Source organism: Homo sapiens, chromosome 17 (genome assembly GCF_000001405.40).
Source record: "Homo sapiens chromosome 17, GRCh38.p14 Primary Assembly".
NCBI lineage: Eukaryota > Metazoa > Chordata > Mammalia > Primates > Hominidae > Homo > Homo sapiens.
The window spans coordinates 27,628,359-27,649,993 of record NC_000017.11 but is presented as its reverse complement, the minus strand read 5'-3'; the positions used below and the strand labels follow the sequence as shown (position 1 = coordinate 27,649,993).

At 52.2% G+C, this 21,635-nt stretch overlaps 1 protein-coding gene across 8 annotated transcripts, besides 4 other annotated features; it reads right to left on the bottom strand.

The window, feature by feature from the left end:
- Positions 1-433: 433 nt before the first annotated feature.
- LGALS9 (galectin 9) lies at positions 434-18,806 on the bottom strand. Of its 8 annotated transcripts, NM_009587.3 has the most exons (11): positions 18,690-18,806; positions 11,640-11,731; positions 9,221-9,422; positions 7,646-7,756; positions 6,374-6,469; positions 4,645-4,680; positions 4,083-4,133; positions 3,406-3,447; positions 2,876-2,964; positions 2,562-2,724; positions 434-1,158 (listed from the first exon to the last, which is right to left on the bottom strand). In NM_009587.3, the coding sequence occupies exons 1-11, from the start codon at positions 18,726-18,728 to the stop codon at positions 1,012-1,014; spliced, it is 1,068 nt and encodes a 355-aa protein (NP_033665.1). In that variant the 5' UTR covers positions 18,729-18,806; the 3' UTR covers positions 434-1,011. The 8 variants fall into 8 exon arrangements, 7 of the variants coding, with proteins under 7 accessions (NP_033665.1, XP_006721956.1, NP_002299.2 ...); NR_024043.2 differs by lacking the exon at positions 6,374-6,469 and having other exon boundaries at positions 9,221-9,351; XM_006721893.4 differs by lacking the exon at positions 2,562-2,724.
- Positions 6,223-6,916: an enhancer, noted in NCBI's record as "H3K4me1 hESC enhancer chr17:25970104-25970797 (GRCh37/hg19 assembly coordinates)". NCBI's record gives its function as "activates a minimal SCP1, AML or CMV promoter by ChIP-STARR-seq in naive H9 embryonic stem cells {active_cell/tissue: H9 hESC(naive)}" and the evidence as "EXISTENCE:reporter gene assay evidence [ECO:0000049][PMID:30033119]".
- Positions 11,497-12,051: an enhancer, noted in NCBI's record as "H3K27ac-H3K4me1 hESC enhancer chr17:25964969-25965523 (GRCh37/hg19 assembly coordinates)". NCBI's record gives its function as "activates a minimal SCP1, AML or CMV promoter by ChIP-STARR-seq in primed H9 embryonic stem cells {active_cell/tissue: H9 hESC(primed)}" and the evidence as "EXISTENCE:reporter gene assay evidence [ECO:0000049][PMID:30033119]".
- Positions 18,364-19,181: an enhancer, noted in NCBI's record as "H3K4me1 hESC enhancer chr17:25957839-25958656 (GRCh37/hg19 assembly coordinates)". NCBI's record gives its function as "activates a minimal SCP1, AML or CMV promoter by ChIP-STARR-seq in naive H9 embryonic stem cells {active_cell/tissue: H9 hESC(naive)}" and the evidence as "EXISTENCE:reporter gene assay evidence [ECO:0000049][PMID:30033119]".
- Positions 18,777-18,896: an enhancer, noted in NCBI's record as "active region_11909". NCBI's record gives its function as "activates an Ori minimal core promoter by ATAC-STARR-seq in GM12878 lymphoblastoid cells {active_cell/tissue: GM12878}" and the evidence as "EXISTENCE:reporter gene assay evidence [ECO:0000049][PMID:35858748]".

Below are 21,635 nucleotides of genomic sequence, written 5' to 3'. Positions count from 1 at the left end.
CCGGGGAGACCCACAATGGAACACACACCCAGACGGTGCTTCGGATCAGCTTCTCCTGACCCCCCTCCCCAAGCCACCTCCTCCCACTGGGACGCCAGGTCTGAGGAGGCAGCTCTGACCCTGCTGTGGCCCTCACAGGCTCTGCCCCAGCCCCTCTCCCATCTCGGAGGCATGGGGCTGTTTCCTGGTGTCCCCCATTACCACCCTTCCTGTGTCCGAGACTCCTGCCCAAAAGGCTAGAGCCCCAGCCTGCTTTCTCCAACACCCTCGTGGGATTTGCAAGAGACCCTCTGGGAGGAGGTGTGAGGTCAGGACCCCCTGCCCAAAGGGAGTCCATGCTTTCCCATCCCACTCCTCTCAGCAGCACCCCCGCCCGATTCCACAGACTCCAAAATGTCTCCAAATGAATTAAAGAAGCCATGGTCAACCCACATGAATGTGCCAACAAGCATTTTCATTTCTTTATTTTAAGGACACTGGGAAAGGAGCCAGTCCTCTGAAGAGAACACTCTGGTCAGGTGGTGGAGGCCAGTGGGAAGCCATCAGGCCTGCTTTCCAGGAGGGGTGAAGGGTTGGTGCACGGTGCAAGGTGAGAGTGAGGTTAAAGGTCAGAGAGGAGGGGCTGAGGAGGCCACCTCCCACCAGGAGCAGACAGCTGGTGGCTTGGGACTGGGGTGGAGCTGCGTGGGGGATGGGAGGGGACTGAGCATGGGGCTTCATCTTCACTGCCCACTCCTCCCCTCTCCCTGGCTGTGCCTGCCTCCTGGGATGGTAGGATTCCAGCAGCTGGAGCCCCAGGTGCTGCTGCGGCTGAGGAAGGCAATCCCCGTCAGCTGCCTTCTCCGTTCCAGGGTGGCTGTAGCCAGAAGCAGGACCAGACAAGGACATGGCCTCTGCATTAAAGCCCAGATCCCAGGCAGGGTTGGAAAGGCTGGGCCTGGGAAGTGGGGATGATGAGAGGACCCAGACTGCCCCACACCCCAGCCCCCGGCCCCAGGGCCAGGAAGCCGCCTATGTCTGCACATGGGTCAGCTGGATGTCGCCCCCCACTTCCAGTCTGTTGATGGTGGGCAGGTTCCTCAGGCGATGGTAGTATTCAAACAGGTGCTGACCATCCACGGCCACCTTGAGGCAGTGAGCTTCACACAAGATCCACACCTGTGCAGAGATCATGCCGTTTGCACTACACTTGGGAAGTCCTCCACCCTCACTGCAGCCTCCTCTCTCCCTCCCTCCCACCCTCCCTCCCTCCTCAGTTGTTAATAAGCCCCTCACCTGCACTCTATCCCCACTGAACGACGGCTCTTCACTAAACAGGCTGTGCGTGCTCTTTCCCCTGTACTGTTCCCTGGTCTAGAATACTGTTCCCACCCCATCAGGGACAGGAGCACTGGCCTGTGCCGTCTGTATCCCTCAGGCCCAGCACACAGGAGTGCTCTGGGCCTGGGCTCCTGCAGCATCAGTCTCCTAACTTGTCTTTTCCACCCCAATGCCTTCTCCACGAAGCAGTCAGGGTACAAATGTTAAAACCTCCTTCCCTTTGCAATAGCTAACACTCCTATCACACATGCCACCTGCCAGGCACTGTCCTAAGCATACTACAGATACTGTCTCATTCCATTCTTACAACTCTAGGAAATTCATGATTATTAGCTCCATTTTGTAGATGAGGAAACTGAAGCACAGAATAATTAAGTCACTTGTCCGAGGTCACACAGCTGTCTACAAATCAAAGTATGTTGCTCCCTGGCTTGAAACACTCCTGAGGCTTTTCACTGTGTTAAAATCCAAGCTCCTTTCCATGGCTGCAAAGCCCTACATCAGTCATTTTCAACTCTGACTGCAGAGTATAATCACTTAAGGCATATTTTTAAAATACGAATGCCCAGCTGACTGCCTCATTGGCCTGGGCTGGGGTCCCAGCACTGATATTTCCTTTGTAAGCTCTCTGGGTGATTTGAATATGTAGTCAGGGTGGAGCACGCCTGCCTGCTGTTCCTGGACAGGCCACACCCGTGCCTCTGCACGTTGGCCCTAGCTGCCCCTCCCAGGCTCGCTCTATCTCATCGCTCTGTTTTGCTTTGTGCGTGGCACTGTCGTTATCTGTGACAATCTGTCCATGCTTTACTTTCCTTGTTCTTTCCCCACCTAAATTATAAACTCCCTGGAGGCAGGACCCTGTCTGTGTGCTTCATGACTGTGCCCCCAGCATGTGGGGTGCTTCCTGCGCAAAGCAGGCGACAAGAAAATGGTTGTTGAGTAAATGAAGAAATGAATAACACCTCCTTCTTGGGTCTGATTTGACACTTACTGACTGTGTGACCACAAGCAAGTAACCTGCACTTGTGAGTTTGTTTCCTCATCTGAAAAAGCAGATCCCAGCACTTCCTTCATGCGGGACAGTAATAATAATAATAATTTGTTGGCCACCTTCTCTTCTTTTGGGCCTTCATCCCAGAGGAATCAGCCCCCATACTGTTCAAGGTACCTCAAACCTCCTTTACCCCCTCCCCCTGTGCACCCATGGGAGCCTCTCCAAGCTCCAGACTGCGGTGCCTTACTGAGAAGCTCTGGCCACGGACGAAGGGCATTTTTCGGGGCAGACTTCGCTCCTCAGACCCCCAGGAGTTGTCGATCTGGGTGTTGCGGACCACAGCATTCTCATCAAAACGGGGGTTCAGGTGGAAGGCGATGTGGTTCCCAGAGCACAGGTTGATGTGGAACCTGGGGTGGGCAGCCCACCTGAACCTTTATCCACCGAATTCTGAGTCCCATTTCCTCCCCATCATCAGTAGCCTTCCTGAAGCCAGGGGAATGGCTGGACTGACCTTGAAGGGCTCTCTCTTCCCAGAGGTCACTGGAGCCCTTGGCTTACCTCTGAGCACTGGGCAGGACAGTGCCTGACAGGAGGATGGACTTGGATGGGTACAGCCCTCCCAGAATGGTGGTGATGAAAGGCATCGGCTGTCGGAAGAAGGGGGACAGGTCAGCCACCACGCGGAAGGGGAAGATTGTACCAGTTCCCATGAATTTGGGCTGTCAGCTGAGAAGAAGCCCATGATATCTTTACTTGGTTCCATAAAAGCCAAAGGAAAACTTTCCAGTGCTCCTCAAATTAATGGGCTTAGATTAGTGTCATGAAAGGAACTTTGGCCAAACACAAAAAGACTCGTTTCGTGGGGTGAAAAGGGAGGGACATGCAATGTGCTCATATTGACACGACAGTTTTAAGGTTGAAAGCTCCTCTCCACAGCCTTCTAATTCGCTGGGATGCTTTGAAGCCCTTCAGCTTAACAAATGACTGCTTTTAATTTTTCAAGGCCAGTGGATCCCCCCACAGCGGCCCTTCACCCCCAGCCTGCCCACCACAAACAGAACCTCTGCCCTCCCTGAGAAACCACTTACATAGGCGGGGTGGGGGTACATCATAGGTGGGATGGCGGGAGTCTGTTGAAAAGAAACCAGGAAATTCAATGGGAGAGCACATGGGTGCGCGAGCACTCACCCAGGCGCACCCACGCGTTCTAGAGAGGACTCCACTGTGAGGCTGACCTCGTGAGCCTTTGGCCCTTGGACTCGCCCGTCTACCTCCCTTTTCATGTTAGCCTTCCTGGAACTTCCTGCCGTGTTCCCAGACCACACCACGGTCACCTGCCCCTCAACCCCTCCGCAGGCAGCCCCACTAATTCTAAGCCCCCCTGCCTCATTTGCACCATCAGGAGAAGAGCTTAAGCCTGTGATCAATAGTGACATCCTGGGGACCCAGGATGCAGGGCCAGGAACCTCACATCCGGGTGCTGGGGCCACTGTACTCCCCACTTGGTGACAGATGGACCAGTTTCCCTCCCGGTCTCTAGGGGACTTGTCTCTTCCACCACTGGATAAACCCTGCTTCTTCCAGAATCTCTGCTGTCCCAAGGACAGCTTTAGCCACATGTCACCTGAGCCAAGCACTCAGCCCCTAGTGTCCCCATCCTCCTTGCTAAACCGCTTTCTTCCCGACTCTAGGGCTCTAGGGAGTTTAGTTTTTGGTGAAGGAGGACACTGTGCAGCTGTGAACTGACCAGAACTTGTAGACTTACAGAGAACATCTGTCCAGGGGCGCTCTGCACTGTGTGGATGACTGTCTGGGTCTGGAAGAAAGAAACCAGGTCTCACCCAGGCTCTCACGTGTGAAAACCACCAGCTCCCACCAGAGGGCGCCACACGGCAGGCACCCTCCAGGGGGCGTAACAAGCCCAATGGCCCCACAGACCCCACAGAGGGTGGGCCCAGGTGTCTCTTCTCTCAAGGGGATGAGCGAGGGGCAAAGGTTAGAACCCTGGAGAAGACAGATGGGGACGCTGGTGGCTCTGGCCCATCTTTCCTCTCGGGGAAACGTCTCTCAGCCTAGCCTCCCTTTGCAGGTGACAGAAGTGAATGTGGGGCATGGTCTTCCGTGGCTGCCCACGGGGTGGCAACTCAGGTTGTTTCATCCAACCCCCACATCCAACCCCCAACCTCACCAGGCCGGGCAGATGGTCAAGGGTCTGGTCTGTGCCCTCCCCACTCCCAATGGGAGAGGCCCAATGCCTGGCCCTGCCTCCTCCATGAGCCCAGAAAAGCCAAAATGAGGACGATCCAAAAAGAAAGCAAGAGACTTACAATGGGAGCCGGGTTGGCAGGCCACACGCCGGGAGGCTGGAGGGGTGAGGAGAGTCAGAATGGTGGTTATCGCGGGCACCACAGAATGGGAGGAGATGGTGGCAAAACTCCAGGGAGGCTCTTGTGCTCAGAAATGCCTCCCCGGACACACCCACCTCCCTCTTGCTCCCAAGCAAGCCTTCCTGAGCCCGTGGCACCCAGATTTTTACCCCCAGGTGTACAGGGCTTTGGGGTTGGGGGGTAGGGTATCCCCACTGGTTCCTCTCGAGAGAGAGGAGACTGGGTTTGATAGAGACCTCATTGCTTTCTGTAGCTCCCACAGCGAAGAGCATTACTTCCAGTGCCATATTTCACCCATAAGGTGAGAAGTGGTATTTGTTGAAGGCCTATTGTGGGTCGATTCCTGGGCTTCAGTGCTTTCCAACAAGGGAAGCAGCCTCAGCTCCTGTGTCCCTAGTGAGGCAACGAGGCTCAGAAAGATTAAGCAACTTGCCCAAGCTTGCCAAGGTGGAAGGGATCAAATCCAAAGTGGCAGCCAGTTCTGTCTGACTGTATCCAGCACACTTTCTATCCTCCCCAGAGCCAGGGCCAGCGCCAGGGCCAGGGCCAAAGTTGGGCTGCCCTGCAAATGTTCCCTGGGGCTCGACCAGTCCTGAAGTCAGCGTGGCAGGAGGCAGGTGCCCTGTCTGTACGGTGATGAGCCATAAGAAGACTGCGTAGACAAAGCGCCCCTCCTCCCAGTCCCCACTACTTGAGTGGCCGGAGGAAGGGCTGCTCACCTCCTTGTCCTGGATCCTGCCCCACCCAGTAGACTGTTCTTGCCCTGGCTGGTATCCCATTCTCCCTGGCTGTGTGAACCACATTCCACATTCATTCACTGAGTCCCTACTGAGTGCCAGGCACAGTGCAAATGAACAAGCCACAGTCCTGGCCCTCTGGGGCCTCATGGGCATAGGGACATGGGGGTGGAGTAACGGGGACAGACACGCAAATACAGTTACAATGGGGTGCTGTGAACTGGCATGGCACAGATACATACAGACTCTGTGGGGACACCAGGGGAGCGTCCAACAATATTCCAGGCGGGGAGGACTCCCAGAGGAGCGGCACTTAGGCAGAGCATGGAAGGGCAATTAGGCATGTGCTCGAGGCAGGCTGGCAGAGGGTGCTTCCGGGACCAGGGACAGCATATGCAAAAGCATGGTGGCCCAAGAGGGCCTTGAGTGAGCTGCAGAGGCTGCGTGAGCTTCGTGGGTTGGGGGTGAGGCAGGGACGTGGATTGGGGCAGACTGGGGAGGAATTCATATACCCTGCTGGAGAATTTGGGCTTTATTTGAAGGGCTGGGGGCTGTGAAGATTTTTAAGCAGGGAGAGGGTGTGATCACATTTGCTTATAAGAAGGTCACTGTGGCAGTGGTTGGGTGTAGGGGGTGGGGAACTGGACCCCTGTCGTCATGGTGAGGAATCCCAGAGGCCTGGACCACATCGGTGGCTTCAGGAGGGAGACACGTTCGTGCCTTGGAGAGACGTAAAGAAGAGGGAGTGAAGAATCCAGGGTGACCCCCAGGTCCCCAGCTCTGGGTGCCCAGCGGACAGAGACAGGGAACTCTTGGGTGGGCAAGATGCGGCCTGTAGGCCCTGAGTGGCCTGCTGGCTGGGGCCAGCCTCTCAGACCCTCGGTCCTTCCTACTGTCTGCTCGGCCACCCAGGGCCTCTGTGTTGAACTCACTTTTTGTCTGCGCCCCCTGGGCCTGGGTGGGAAACAGACAGGCTGGGAGAACGGCACCGTGGAGAAGGCAGGCTGAACAGGGACTGTGCGGGGGTTCTGTTAAAACAAAAGGCACCGGGCAGTGAGGAGAAGCATTAATAGAGCCAAGGAGAAGCCGAAAGGCAGAGGCAGGGGCAAGAGGGAGAGACCAGGCAGGCAGGGCGATGAGGCAAGGGGGTTAGGGCCCTGCCAAGATGGGATGGGAAAGAGCCAGGCTCTGGTGAGCAGTGCAGGGGTGCGGTCTCCCTCCAGCTCTTCCCTCCCCTACCACCCGCAGGGGAGAGAGTCAGGGAAGGAGGGAATGAGAGATGAGGACCAAAGGGCGAGAAGCCCAGATTTGCTGAGGGCCTACTGTGTGCTTCGCTGATCTCAGGGAGCAGCCTCGAATGCCAAAAGGGTAACAGCAGCTCCCACCCAGCTGCTGGTGCCCTGTGGGAATGTGGGCCCAGCATACCCTAATCTTCCCATTTTTCACATGGTATTGGTATCTCCTGACCTTATTTAGTTTTATTTATTTTATTTTATTATTTAAACAAAGTTTTTTGGAGACAGGGTCTTGCTGTTTTGCCCAGACAGAACTCTAATTCCTGGGCTCAAGCAATTCTCCCACCTCAGCCTCTTGAGTAGCCAGGACTGCAGACCTCCACCACCATACCTGACTCTCCTGACCTTTTAGATGTTGGCAACACATTCAAAGTTGTTAAAACACAGAGGTCAAACAGACCCTGGTGTGGGCCCAGGGGGGCCACTGTGTGACCTCTGATATCTGTCTCCTCACTGAACCACACAACCACCCATGGGGGGCAGGCAATGACCATTCTACAGATGAAGAAACCAAGGCTGAGAGAGGTGAAGTTGCTTGTCTAAGATCCCACAGATGATGAATGGCAGAGCTGGGAATTTGAACTGGATTCAGTTTGGTTCTTGAGCCTGGGCTCTTTCTAGAACAATATGCCCTCCTTACCAGGATGGAAACTGAGGGATGAAGAGAAAGGGGCAGCTGAGGAGTCTGGGAGACCAAGGCAGGTGTTCCGGACAGAGACAGTAACACAGAAGGAGGGGCAGAGTGACAGAGGAGAAGGGGCGGGCAGGTACTGGGACAGGGAAGCAGAGGTTGTCCCCAGAGTGACCTGGGTAGGAGATTGGCTTGGGCCCACCCAGCAGGGCTTAGACACAGCTACGCTGGGCCCTGCATCCCAGCCCCTGGGACCGGTGCCAGGTGGACAGTCTGACCTGGAAGCTGATGTAGGACAGCTGCACAGAGCCATTGACGGAGATGGTGTCCACACGGTGGAAGGGCACGCGGTGGAAGTACTGCACGAAGAGGATCCCGTTCACCATCACCTGCCAGAGGAGAGCACATGTTCTGGGGGAGGCATCCCAGGCTGGGATGGGGACCACCCCTGAGCTCCTGGACCCTCTTTCTAGAAAATGAAGACCTGAGTCTGGTCTTCAGTGTGGGGCCAGTTACAGGAACGTGTGTGTGACCCAAAGTGCATCAACCCGAGTCTCTACCAGGCTCCAGTTGGACTTTTCGTTCTTCTGGTTGTTTCCTGCAGTAGGTTTGTCTTTCTAGTCTTAGCTCACCTGGGGTTTCATTTATTAATTATTTATTTTTCCTTCAACTGTTTTTTTTTGTTTTTTGAGATGGAATGTCAGTCTGTCGCCCAGGCTGGAGTGCAGTGGGTCAAGTGATTCTCGTGCCTCAGCCTCCCGAGTAGCTGGGATTACAGGAGCCCACCACCATACCCAGCTAATTTTTGTATTTTTAGTAGAGATGGGGTTTCACCATGTTGGCCAGGCTGGTCTTGGACTCCTGACCTGAAGCGATCCGCCCTCCTCAGCCTCCCAAAGTGCTGAGATTATAGGCGTGATCTGCCATTTCCATCCCCTTCAACTTTGATTTTAAGTTCCAGGGTGCAAGTACAGGATGTGCAGATTTGTTAACTAGGTAAACGGGTGCCATGGTGGTTTGCTGCAGAGATCAACCCATCACCTTGGTATCAAGCCCAGCATCCATTAGCTAATCTTCCTGATGCTCTCCCTCTCCGACCAGGCCCAAGGGTGTGTTGTTTCCCCCCATTTTGTCCATGTGTTCTCATCGTTCAGCTCCTACTTATAAGTAAGAACATGTGGTGTTTGGTTTTCTGCTCCTGCGTTAGTTTAAGGATAAAGGCTTCCAGCTCCATCCATGTTCCTGCAAAGGACATGATCTCATTCCTTTTTATGGCTGCAGCGGTATTATTTATATATGCATAAAATGCTCATGGGGAGCAGAGGAGAGGTGACCTCAGGTTGCATACTGAACGAATGGGGACATCCTTATCTCAGATAAGCATACTTGGACTGACTTACCCACAGGCTTCTCAAGCCCAGAGACCTACTCTGCTTGCAAGGGTAATTTGCAATGTGCTTACAAAACTATACCCTTAATAGACCCTGGATAAAGGCTGGAACGATGTCGCTGAAAAATAAATGTTACCAGTGACCTGGAGAGGAGGAATGGCTATAGCAGAGGAATGGAATGAGCTTGGAATTCAAAGACACACAACACCAAATAGCAACGTGATGACTCCTCTAGTTCTTATTTTCAGAGTAAAAGAAGCAGCAGGTGCACCTGTAGATTCAGATGAAGGTGCATAAGGAGACTAGGCAGCCATGGGTAACACCTCACAAGGAAATGAGCGTGTTATCTGTATAGTGGTGTCACTCTGGCTGAATGTCAATTTAGGTGATTACTTAAAGGCCATTCACCTGATAGGGCTGGGGGTCCCAGGGGTGAGAGGTGGGGAGGGGATTCTTGCTCACCTTGAAATCTGAGCTCTGCACCAGGAAGCAGAGGTCAAAGGGCATCCCCTTCTGGAAAGGCATGTGTGTCTTCCTCTCCTCGGGCCCCCAGCTTCCGTTCTGCCTCGTGTTGCACACCACGTACCCTCCATCTTCAAACCGAGGGTTGAAGTGGAAGGCAATGTCATTTCCACTGAAGCCAGTCTGAAAGTTCACAGCAAACCTAGGCCCAGGGAAAGCAAATAGTCTTCTGTGGCATGGATTATTGCCAGTGACAGGCACAGGAGGGCCTCGGCGCCTGTGCTTTGCATTTGTCTGGATCTTGCACACAACCTGTATGGCAGAGACTGCTTTGTTGGCATCGTTTTTGTTTTTCTAATTGGGATCTAATGTGTTTTTGTTTTAATTATTGGATTTTGCCTTTACAGCATGATTTGCTAAAAGCAAATAGAAAACGGTTAAGGAAAAGTGCTGGTATTAGCAAACAAGAAACATAGGTCTTGGAAAGTGATTACCAATTGATACCGAAGATGGAAGTTGTTAAGCACACCTAGAAGAGAGAGCCTTCTGTGCCAGTGGACACTTGTTGGAGGCCAGCACATGCCTGATTAAATGGGAAAGAAGAGAACAAATGTAAAGAGCATGTGAAATTGGGGCTGGGCGCAGAGGCCAAGGCGGGTGGACCACTTGAGCCCAGGAGTTTGAGACCAGCCTGGGCAACATAGTGAGAGCTCATCTCTAGTTAAAAAAAAAAAAATTGGCTGGGCATGATGGCTCACGCCTGTAATCCCAGCACTTTGGGAGGCTGAGGCATGTGGATCACGAGGTCTGGAGTTCGAGACCATCCTGGCCAACATGGTAAAACCCCGTCTCGACTAAAAATACAAAAAATGAGCCAGGCATGGTGGCATGAGCCTGTAGTCCCAGCTACTCAGGAGGCTGAGGCAGGAGAATCACTTGAACCCAGGAGGCGGAGGTTGTAGTGAGCCCAGATAGCGCCACAGCACTCCAGCCTGGTGGCAGAGCGAGACTCCATCTCAAAATAATAATAATAATAATTAGCTGGGCATCATAGTGCACTCCTGTAGTCCCAGCTGCTCCGGAGGCTGAGATGGGAGGATCACTCAAGCCCAGGAATTTGAGGCTGCAGTGAGCTATGATCATACCACTGAACTCCAGGCTGGGTGAAAGAAAGTCCCTGTCTCAAAAGAAAAAAATTAATTAATTAAATGAATAAATGGAGAAGATTGCATTTGAAATATATCTGCATGTATTTTTTCCTTTGGAGTCCTTCAGCTTCATCCCTGTAGTCCTTTCGAAATTCCTGCCCCAAGGAAGGGAGAGACAGAAAGCTCCCAAGAGGAGAGGGCCCTCTGAGGTAGGATCTGTCTCTATATGACAGGATGGGAGTGGGAAGCCCTCCTGGTGCTGGGGGGTGGGGGAGGTGGAGGGAGAGGGAGAGAGGAAGGGGCGGAAGATCAGGGTCATGGTCCTGATTCCCCTGGTTGGAGGGTTCAGGGAGATCGGGGCCTCCCTGCCCTTGGCATCTCCTGAGGGCACCGCAGTCTCTCAGAGAAGTCCCACAGCAGGATGGCAATGGCGGAGGAGGTCACCAAGAATCTAGGTGTCCAAGCTGAGGTTTAGCTGGGATCTGTGAGGCCCAGAAGGTCTTAAGGAGAGGTCCCCTGGGACTGAGGCAGAGAGGCTTCCGAGAGAGAGTCATGAGTCCAGAGGCTCTTCTGTGGGCCCCGCAGAGTTCAGCAGGCAGCCACCCATGGTCCCCCACTAAACCAGGAGAGAGCTGCACACCTCTGTGCCACCCGGTCGGGGTGCCTCGGCAGGGGTCAGCCAGGCCTGAGTGAGGGTCTAGAGCCCTCCCAGCCACTGAGAAGCCATGTGAGCTCTTCTCTGTTCCCAGACAGCCCACCTTGGGAGGGAGGAGGGGGTGGGAAACAGCCCTGATACAATGTTAGTATGTTGAATTGACTTAGTAGTTTCTAGAAAAGGCCTTGAAACCAAAAGAGACCAAATTACTTTTGATGGCAATTTTCAATATTTTCACATCAGCAGAAGGAGAGCTTCAGAGTGGATGAGAGCAGTTACGGGAAATGGAGGAAGTTTGATTTTTGCAACTCTTAGTCACAGTGTGCAAGGTTCAACCCAGAACATAATCATCCAACTCTGACCATCCCACGCCCTCCTTAGACCGTCAGCTCCCAGGGCCCCATTCATCCTGGAGTCCAGGTTAATGGCACCCCTGGGTGCAGGTTGTGCCTGTGGAGTGCTGCCCTGTGGCATGGGTTAGGGACGCATTGGGCCTCCCCTGAGCCAGGCACGTGAGCTTGGATGTTGCTGTTTGAACTAACCCAGGCTCACAGGCACAGTGGTTTACTAAGGGACGAGGCTGGAGTGAAACGTTTCCATCCATATACACACACACCTGGTTCCACTGGAGCTGAGAACGGTCCCATTGACAGTGATCTGAAGTCCGTCCTGGAGACCTCCTTGAATAGTCCCAGAAAAGGGGACAGCCTGCAGGGAGAAGGTGTGGGAACATCAGTCAGGTGGCCGGCCTCCCGTTTGCTCCCCTCCAGCGCTAGTCAGTGGCCAGCCTGGGTTTGACAGCCCCATGCAAGGGGATAGGGTGCGGCTGTGACCAGTACAGAGGGAGTCGCAGCCCCACGGGTCTTAGGGTCCTGTGTGGAGGCAAACACAAATCCAATTAGTTACTCAGACAGTCTAAGCTTGTGATAAGGAGAAGCCTGGCCCTGAGAGGACGCGACAGGGAGCTGAGCTTGTGTGAGAGTCTAAGAGGCAGTGGAGGCTGCAGCAGGAATGCACCAGGCAGAAGGCCTTCCTTCCAGGCAGGGAAGTAGCAGGCAGACACCCTGGGCTGCTAAGGAATTAGGTAGCAATGGGGGCTGCTGGACCCCATGCTAAGCTCCCAGCAAAGGTCCCAGGCCCTGGCTGGAGACTCAGGAAGCCCAAGGGACCAAAGGGACCCATCAAGGGTCTGGAGGGTAAACCTTCGACTCACCCGAGGAGGTTAAGAAGAAGCCATCCCCCTCTCCCCACCACCACCATATAACAATGGCCACTGTGACCTTTGCCCTCCTGGCCACCTTCAGCAGAGCGTCTTCCCAGATGCCTTCTGTAGCCGTGGGGCAGCCCCCTCCTCTATTTCTGTGCCCGGGCTCCCCATTCCTTCCCTCAGGCCCTCAGCAGCCCCGAGGCCTAGCGTGGTTTCCCCACCCATCCCAGGCCCCACGGGCAACCACTTTGTCAAATTCTCTCTTCTGGTGCTCTTTAAAGGAGTGATGGGCCATGGTGAGGCATGCATCGTTTTAGAGTCAGGCCAACTCCAGGTCTGAATCCTAGCTCTGCTGCTCATGACCTGAGTGACCTTGGGAAGCCTATTTCACCTCTCTGTGCCTCAGTTTCCTCATCTGTAAAATAGGAAGGTGTTTCACCTGCTGCATATGATTGATGATTTTGTGAGAAACAGCCTGTGGTAAAAGAGACTGGCACATAGGAGATGCTTCACCACTGTCACCCACCCCCCACCTTCATCTCTCTCAGCAAAATTCACAAACTGGTACTTCCAATTTTCAAAGTTTATTCCCAAAATGCTTCATATCCAATGTCGTTCTATAACCCGCATTAAAGCACAGTTCTATCTCCTGGCTGATTTTCACATTCTTCAAGTTTTTAATGTCTTCTCTAATATCTCCTTTAGGTCAATTTCCTACACAAATTAAATGCCTAAAGGAGCCAGGCAGGTGATGTGTATGGGTGAGATGGCCAGGTGGGGGAGTGGTGGGGACTGTGGCAAAGTAGATGTCACACCCCTCATCTGAAAAGTCAACATCTACTCCGTGCTAAGCAGTGATTGCCATCTGGGCCCAGTATTGGCAGAGCTTCCAAATTTTTAAGAGAAGACAGAAGTCCGGATTTTTTTTTTCTATAAAACTTTCTAATTTCTTGGGGGAAAATTTGTCAAAAAGGATTATGTAAAAGCTCCTGGCTGGGCACAGTGGCTCACATCTATAATCCCAGCACTTTGGGAGGCTGAGGCAGAAGGATCACTTGAGCCCAGGAGTTTGAGGCCAGCCTGAACAACGTAATGGGACCCCCATCTCTACAAAAAATAAAAAAAAAATAGCTAGGTGTGGTGGTGCACACCTTTAACTCTAGTTACTTGGGAGGCTGAGGTGGGAGGATCCCTTGAGCCTGGGAGGTGGAGGCTGCAGTGAGCCATGATCACACCACTGTACTCCAGCCTGGGCAACAAAGTGAAATCCTGTCTTGAAACCCCCCAAATTCCCATATTATAGAGATACAAAATGAAATATTTGAAATGGAATGGTATCTTTGGATTTGCTTCCACATATCTGAGGGTGGGAAGGAAGCAAGCGAGGGAGGGTATAGGATGAAGCAAGATAGGCCTGAGTTGATCATTGTTGGAGCAGAGTGATGGGTGTGTGTTGTTGATGGTACAATTCCTTCTGCATGTTTGAATTTCCTATAATAAAACGTTAAAAGAAACACTGTGCAGGCCAAACAGAAAACACCCACCAGCCAAATTCAGCCTACTTGCCACTGCTTTCTGGTCTGTATTGTTGAGTTGTGTGACCACACAGAACCCTGGGAAACCCATCCTAGCTCAGTGTACACACCTGGCACCGTGAGAGCCCCAGGAAATCTGGGATCTGATTCAGTTAGACTCTGCTCCCCATGGATTTGAGGGGGGTGTCTTTTGTTGCCCCTCAGGTCAGGTCTGAACTCTGCCATTAAGTACTTTAGTGACCTCAAGCAAATCACAGCTTCTCTGTGTCTCTGACTTCTCATTCTTGTCCCTGTCTACACCAGCAGTGTAGGGGAAGGAGAGTCAGCCTGATCCAATTATGGACCAGCACGGCCTAGGATTGGGAAGCCTGTTTTCCCTGAAACATGTCTGTGGAACATTTTTCTCCTTGCCTGTTTGTGGAAGCCTGTGATTCTCTCCAGAGCCTTTCATACTATCATGAGACACAACACTGAAAATACACACCCTCCTGGGAAGCATGCGGCCTCCACTTAAGTGTATTCACAGCACAGCATCTAGAATTGAAGGCAGAGCGTGATGGACATGGGCTGGCAAGTACACACAAGGCTTAATTAAGGAAGCCAGGAGGGAGAAAGAGGAAGTACAGATCATGGGGGCGGGACAGGACAGGCTAATCTCCAAGGCAACAAGTTCCCCAAAAAAGCTCTGTGAGGTTTCAAAATATCTTAAATAGTGCCCCCAAAATTCGGAAAAACAAGATTATTTATTTATTTATTTATTTATTTATTTATTTATTTATTTATTTAGAGATGGGTTCTCACTCTGTTGCCCAGGCTGGAGTTCAGTGAGGGCTGTGATCATGGTTCACTGCAGCCTCCACCCCCTGGCTCAAGTAATCCTCCCGCCTCAACCTCCCGAATAGCTGGGACAAAATAGGTGCAGGCCACCATGTCCCACTAATCTTACAATATTTTTTGTAAAGATGGGGTCTCTATGTGTTGCCTGGGCTAGCTCAAGTGATCCTTCCGGCTCGGCCTCCCAAAGGGCCAAGATTTCAGGCATGAACCATCATGCCTGGCCTGAAAAATGAGTTTTTAAATTGAATATCATCCTACAAACAAGGTTATTCATTGCAGCATTATAACACAAAGGATTATAAAGCAAAGCATTGGAAAGAGCTTAAAAGTCCTCTGACAGGAAAAAGGTGAAATAAATTAGGGTATTTCCATTTAATAGGTTCTGTGTAGCCTTAAAAAGAAAAGAAAAAGAGGAAGACAGAACTCTGAGCACTGATATGGAATGATGCCATTTGTATAAAAAGTGGGTGGGGGAAGTCTATGGACTTGCATTTATTTATTTATAGATAAAATATATCTGGAAGGATTTATAAGAAACTTATAACACTGGTTACCAGTGGGCCACCCCCCAGAAACATCCACATTCGAATCCCCGGAAACTGTGAATATGTTGTAGAAGGGACTTTGTAGATGTGATTAAATTAGTAATTTTGGCATGGGGAGATTGTCCTGATTTTAAAGGTGGTCCCAATGTGATCACAAGGATCCTATAAAAGGAAGGCAGGAGGATCAGTGTCAGAGGTAGGAGATGTGACAACAGAAGCACAGAAGCAAGAAGAAGCTGGTTTGCGTTTTTGGGGGGTTTTTGTTTGTTTTCGTTTTTTGTTTTTTGTTTTTTTTGAGACAGGATCTCATTCTGTCAGCCAGGCTGGAGTGTGTTGACGCGATCTCAGCTCACTGTAGCCTCCACTTCCTCAGGCTCACGTGACCCTCCCACCTCCGCCTCCCAGGTAGCTAGGACTACAGGCATGCACCACCACACCTGGCTAATGTTTGTCTATTTTTTGTAGAGACGTGGTCTCACTTTGTGGCCCAGGCTGGTCTCAAACTCCTGGATTAAGGAGATCCTCCTGCCTCGGCTTCTCAAAGTGCTGGGATTATAGGCATGAGCCACTGGGCCCAGCCAAAGCTGCTGGTTTTAAAGATGGCAGGAGGGGTCATAAGCCAAGGCCTGCAGGCAGCCTCTAGAAGATGGAAAAGGAAAAGAAACAGATTTTCCCCTGGGGCCTCCAGAAGGAAACAACTTTGCTGACACATTGATTTTAACATCTGACCTTCAAAATCATTAAGAGAGCAAATTTGTTGTTTTAAGATTGGCCAGCCAAGGCTGCTGTGGAATTTGGATAAGTGTGTCCAGAAAACCCAGGAAAACAACCGGACCTGCTTTTGTTCCATGTGGTGCAGGAGGATGGATTTTCACACTGGATTTATGGTCCCACGGGACTGGGCTTGCCTCCCAGCTCTGTACACTAGCAATTCTGACACTGGCCAAGTCACTTGACCTGCCTGTGCCCCAGTTCCCTCCTCTGAATGGCAGGACAGTAACACCACCCGACAGTGTTCTGGAGAGGACTGGGTGCAACGCTGTGTGCTGAGCCCCTGGCTGGCAGCGTTCTGAGAGGACTGGGTGCGATTCCGTGTGCTGAGCCCCTGGCTCATGTCAGACATGACAGTGCAGCTCTTTGCATTGAACAAATCGATCCCTCTGCTGAGTCATGACTTGCTCTCTGTTCCTGATAGTGCCCAGAGACCGGGGACTTTTCCTCCTCTTCTTATCTGGAAGTCTAGAAAGCAGAGCTGAGCCCTGTGAACCAAAATGTGGGCAGCCTTGTTTTGGACTCAGCATCACCAGAGGACACCCAGGCCCGACCCCGAAGTGGGGAGCTCAGCCTGGCTGGCCAAGACTGCGTGCCAGCAGGAGGCCAGTACGTGGCTCTTAGCCAAGGTGCCCCGCTGCCTCAGAGGCTCCATGGTCCTGCTGGCCACCTTCCATGACACTTTGATTTTAGACTTCTGACCTCCAACACTGTAAGAACAAATGTGTTGTTTTGAGGTTGACCAGCTAAGGCTGCTGTGGCATTTGGATCCATGTGTGTCCATGAGGGCTCTGGGCATGACTAGGAACATTTATCCTCACAGCAACCCCGGCCACTTTTACAGATGAGGAAACTGAGGCACAGAAAAGTTCAGTCACTTGCTCAAAGTTACACAACTGGTCAGCAACAGAGCTGGGATTTGAACCCCAGCACCCACGCTTCTAACCACCACACAGGCTTCCTCTCATGAGTAAGCTGAGAACATCCTTATTCCTGGCTCTCCCAGTGCTTCCTGGACCACACAGCACGTGGTTCCAGCTTCCCCCAGGCCCTCCAAAGAGGCTGGGCTAGATGAGGCCAGACAAGAAGTGGGAGTGAGGTTTCCAAGCCAGGCCCTCATGGCACTCAGCCCTCCTCAGCAGGACAGCGAACCGCGTGACCTTCCCCCACTGTCGGCATGTGGAGGAAGCGTGGCTCCGACTGCCAGATGGGTCACCAAGTGAGGCTTAATTGTCCCAACCCAGGGGAGCCCCCGTGGGGTAGAGGGGTACTCTGGACACCCATAGGGGCTGCACTGATCATCTTTCTTGTCTGGACTCCAAGGCCCTGTTTTAACTCTCTGATGTCCGTAGGATAATTTTCCTTCTGAATCCAAGGATTAGAAAGTAAAAACCAGTCACCAGAATAATAATATGTCAGAACCTGGAAGAAGCTCTGGGATCCCCTCTTTGACAGAAAACCAGAGACAGGGTGACATGCCCAAGGCAGCACCTGCTGACCCTAAGGCCCCCACCAGCGGCCTGTTCCAGCTTCCCCCAGCCCCCTCTGTGCAGGTCCTACCTCAGGGGCCTCCACAGGGTGGCTGAGGTGTCATTGGTGACAGCCAGGAGGAAACAGGCCTCCTTTCCCCATTCTTTCTCTCTGGAGTTTAGAAAGCAGAGCCGAGCTCTGCAGACCAGAACGTAGGCAGCCTCATTCTGGACTCAGTGTCACCAGGGGGCACTCAAGCCCGACCCTGGCCTCTGCTGAGGTGGGCCATGGCAGCTTCCCTCCCTCAGTACCCTGCCTCTGCCCACCCTCCCCACCCTGCCTCCCCACCCAGGAAGGACCCATCAGCCCACCCTCTCCAGCCCCTCGGGAAGCTCTTTGCCAAGGCGGGGTGAGATCCTATGACAGGAGCCGGCCCAGGACACAGTGACCCCTGAAGTCTCCTGGGCTCCTGGGGCTGCCACTCCCATCTGGAGGCATTTGGCAACTGGCCTCTGCCTCCCTGAGCCTCAGATTTTCCGTGTATGAAGGGGACTCATAAACCTCACAGGGTTTCAGCAAGGCACCTGCCGCCCTCTGACCCCACGCTGCAGGGACAGTCCTCACCCCCCTCTCACCTCTGAGACTGCCCCTCCACAGATGCCCTGAACATGCCCATGCCCAACCTTCAGAGCACAGACACCTCCTCGGGAGGTCTTCCCTGCTGCCCTCAGACACCCAATAACATGAAACACTCCCAAAGCACCTACAGTGTGTCAGGCACTGTTCAAACACACTAGATACACTACTTCCTTAATCCATATCCCAACCCTGGGAGTGGGGGGCTCAAGTATTATTCCCACTTCACAGATATGGAAACTGAGGCCCAGAGACCACCAGCCAGTAAATAGCTGGACCCAGGGAGGCCACCTTCACAGTAAGCACCCTTAACTACCATGCCGGGTAGCGTCCTTACTGTCCCAGAAGCGTGCTTGCTTCCTCTTTACATGAACCACCCCGCTCTACATGTCTTCCCCTGAGCACACAGGACAGGACAGGACAGGACAGCTCAGTCAACACTGTCAAAGCCATGACTCGTGGGAAGGAGCATCCCTCCAGGCATGAGTGAGCTCAGCACGGCACAGGTGTGCCAGGATGACCTCCTCTGATATTTCTGCCCTGCTTGTGTTCTCTTTGGGATGCCCCCACCCCCATCCCCTGCCACCCAGGAGTTGCTTCCTCAGAGCCCCAGAGCTGTGTCCCTCTGGCTGAGGCAGCCCTGTGCCCATAGCCCTGGAACTCACTGGACTCAGGTAGGGAGCCTGGGAACCGCTGAAGGCCATCTCTCCGCCGCCTCTGTGGCCACCGCTGCCTTTCACACCCACTAGGAAGTCCTTTGTAGAGGGAACGACTTAACAAAGAAATAGAAACCAAAGCAACTTGGCTGTTATTCAATGGGGAGGAGCCGGCAGCAAAAGGAAGTGGGTCCAGAGAGAGAAAGGTATGGTACTGGGTGGACTGGGGTGACACTCACAGAGGGAAGTAGGCACTCCCAGCCCCAGTGACCTTTCCCTCCTCCCTCTCCTGTGCTCAACCCAAGCCTGAAGCATATTTGGTTCATAGAGGTCTACAATGCTTGACCACACTGACATGACAGCAAGTTGCCAGATGACACTGCCCAGAAGTATGTGGCTGTGTGTCCTAAGCATGCTTGGCCACGGAGTCCAGAAAATAATGGGGCTGGGCATTGCCTGTGCACAGGGTGCTTGTGGGGAAGGGCGGCTTCAACCCATTTTACATACAGAGAAGCTGAGGCTCAGAGTCTAAGGGGCATGCCCCAGGTCACACAGCTAATTCGTGGCCGCCTGAACTTTATGAAGATTCTCAGACTCTTCAAAAAGTATTTCTCCTGTTTAAATTTATATTATTCATGTAAAAACATAATTATGTAGAGGGGAATATTTTGCAAGAAAAACACCATAATGAATATTTTTATTCTACAGTATGGGGTGCCCAGGAGCTTCTGATCCTCCCTCTCAATGAATCTCTCTTGATTCTCTTCTCCTTCTCTTCTCCATCCTTATTTTCTGCACTTTAGGATGAGGAGAGAAGTCTTGGACATGATAGAACATTTCAAGTGACATGGGGCTGGGAAGGAACATATGGCATGTGCAGGTCGTGGGGGAGGGAGCCATGAAATAAACTTACCTGAAGTCGACCAGGTCCCAGCGATGTGCTGGTGAGAAGGCCCAGAACTCAAGCTGGGTAGGGTAAGTGCTGGCAGGTAAGGGCTGTACGGGTGCGAGAGGATGGCAGGTGCCCCAGGGCCATACGTGAGTCTGCACCTCTCTTCCTTCCTGTGCTCCACCTAGATGCACTAGAATTTGCAGACTAATTCCTTTGAGATGCTCCAATAGACTGAGGCCATGTGTGCCATCTGCACTGTCCATCCCCATTATGTTCCTGGATCAAGTACCAGTTTAAGGAGTAGACAGTACAAGGGGAGCAGAAAGGAGAGAAAGGAAGGGAAATTCTTTGCGATCCTCTCGGACACCAGGGACAATTTCATCACGGCACATCATTTGTAGGCAATCACAAATTGATTGCGATACGCAACAACTGGAACTCTCATTCACAGCAGACTGGAGTGTAAAATAATCCAACTTAGAAAAATGGGCAGGGCGTGGTGGCTTATGCCTATAATACCAGCACTTTGAGAGGCTGAGGCAGGAGGATCACTTCAGCCCAGGAGCTTGAGACCAGCTCGGGAAAGGTTGGAAGACCCTGTCCCTACATATAATTTAACAAACAAATTAGCCAGGTGTGGTGGTGCACACCTGTGGTCTCAGCTACATGGGAGGCTGAGGTGGGAGGCTCACTTGACCCCAGGAGGTCAAGGCTGTAGTGAACCCTCATCACGCCACTGCACTCCAGCCTGGGTAATAGAGCAAGACTCTGTCTCAAAAAATTGAAAAATAAAAAATAAAAAGAAAAACTGCTTGGTGAGTTGTAATACAGTCAAATATCTACTTCTATGTTCTGGCTTTTCTACTTCTAAAAAATTACCCAAGAGAAAGGAAAACATATGTGCCTGTTTTTAACAGCTTTACTCATCATTGCCCCAGGCTGGAAACAGTGCAAATGTTCACCAAAGGAGAAGGGAGAAATGAATTGTGGTTTTCATACAACAGAGTAGCCCTCGGCAATAAAAAGGAGCTAGGCCACAGGAAACATCAATGGGCCTCGCAACTGAGCAGAAGAAGCCAGATCCAAACTTGACTTGAAGTGTTGTTCAAGTCAAGTTGAACAACAGGCCAGAATGGCGTCACCCTTGGGGGTCTCTGACTGGGAGGGGCAGGAAGGAGTCTTTGAGAGGCTGGAAATGTTCTGGATCTGGTTCTGGGTGGCGATCACACAGGTATTTACATCCATTAACAACAGGCTGAGGCTGGGTGCAGTGGCTGACACCTGTAATTCAGCACATTGGGAGGCTGAGGCGGGAGGATTGCTTGAGCCCAGGAGTTCGAGACCAGCCTGGGCAGCATGGCGAGACCTTGTCTCTACTAAAAATCAAAAAAATTAGTGGGGCATTGTGGTGCACACCTGTAGTCCTGGCTACAGGAAGGCTGAGGCAGGAGGATTGCTTGAGCCTGGGTGGTTGAGGCCACAGTGAGCTATGACCATGCCGCTGCACTCCAGCTTGGGTGACAGAGCAGGACCCTGTCTCAAAACAAAACTCAAAACAGAAAACCAGGATCTGTACATTTTACTCTACCTAGACAATATTTCCATAAAATACTGCTAAAAGAAAAAATCTCCCAGAGCCCAAGGAGACACAGGCACAGCTCAGAGTTCTAGCAAATCAGCACCTTAGCATCACCTTGAGCCTTGGAGGTGAGTCACAGGTAAGCAGCCTCACTATTGAGTCCAGCCTATAAAGGAGGGTCCTCTGCTCCACACCCTGCCTGGAGGGGCCCCAGTAAGGTCATACCCAAAGGCTGATGTGTTTTTAGACCAATCAACACAGTAGGGAGACACTTTGAGGCACAGTGCCGGCACCCTTCAGTCACCACAATCCATTCGCAGTGGTTAACCCTGGTCTTCAGGAGATGAGAAGCAGCCCTCGTGAATGTTTCTTCTCAGAGCTCTAGTATTCAAAGTCGCAGACCTGTCTCGGAGGCTCTGTTCTCTGCCCTGTAGACTGAGGGATCTTTTCAAAATGTGAGTCTGCCACCTCACACTCATTAGGA

What these genes read in the sequence shown, in the direction of transcription:
- LGALS9 (NM_009587.3), bottom strand. Translation starts at nt 18,728, where the DNA reads ATGGCCTTCAGCGGTTCCCAGGCTCCCTACCTGAGTCCA. An exon ending in CTCAGCTCCAGTGGAACCAG is followed by an intron (nt 9,423 to 11,639) that starts GTGTGTGTGTAT and finishes CCCTGGGCCTAG; the next exon opens with GTTTGCTGTGAACTTTCAGA. An exon ending in TGTCCTACATCAGCTTCCAG is followed by an intron (nt 6,470 to 7,645) that starts GTCAGACTGTCC and finishes TTGTTTTAACAG; the next exon opens with AACCCCCGCACAGTCCCTGT.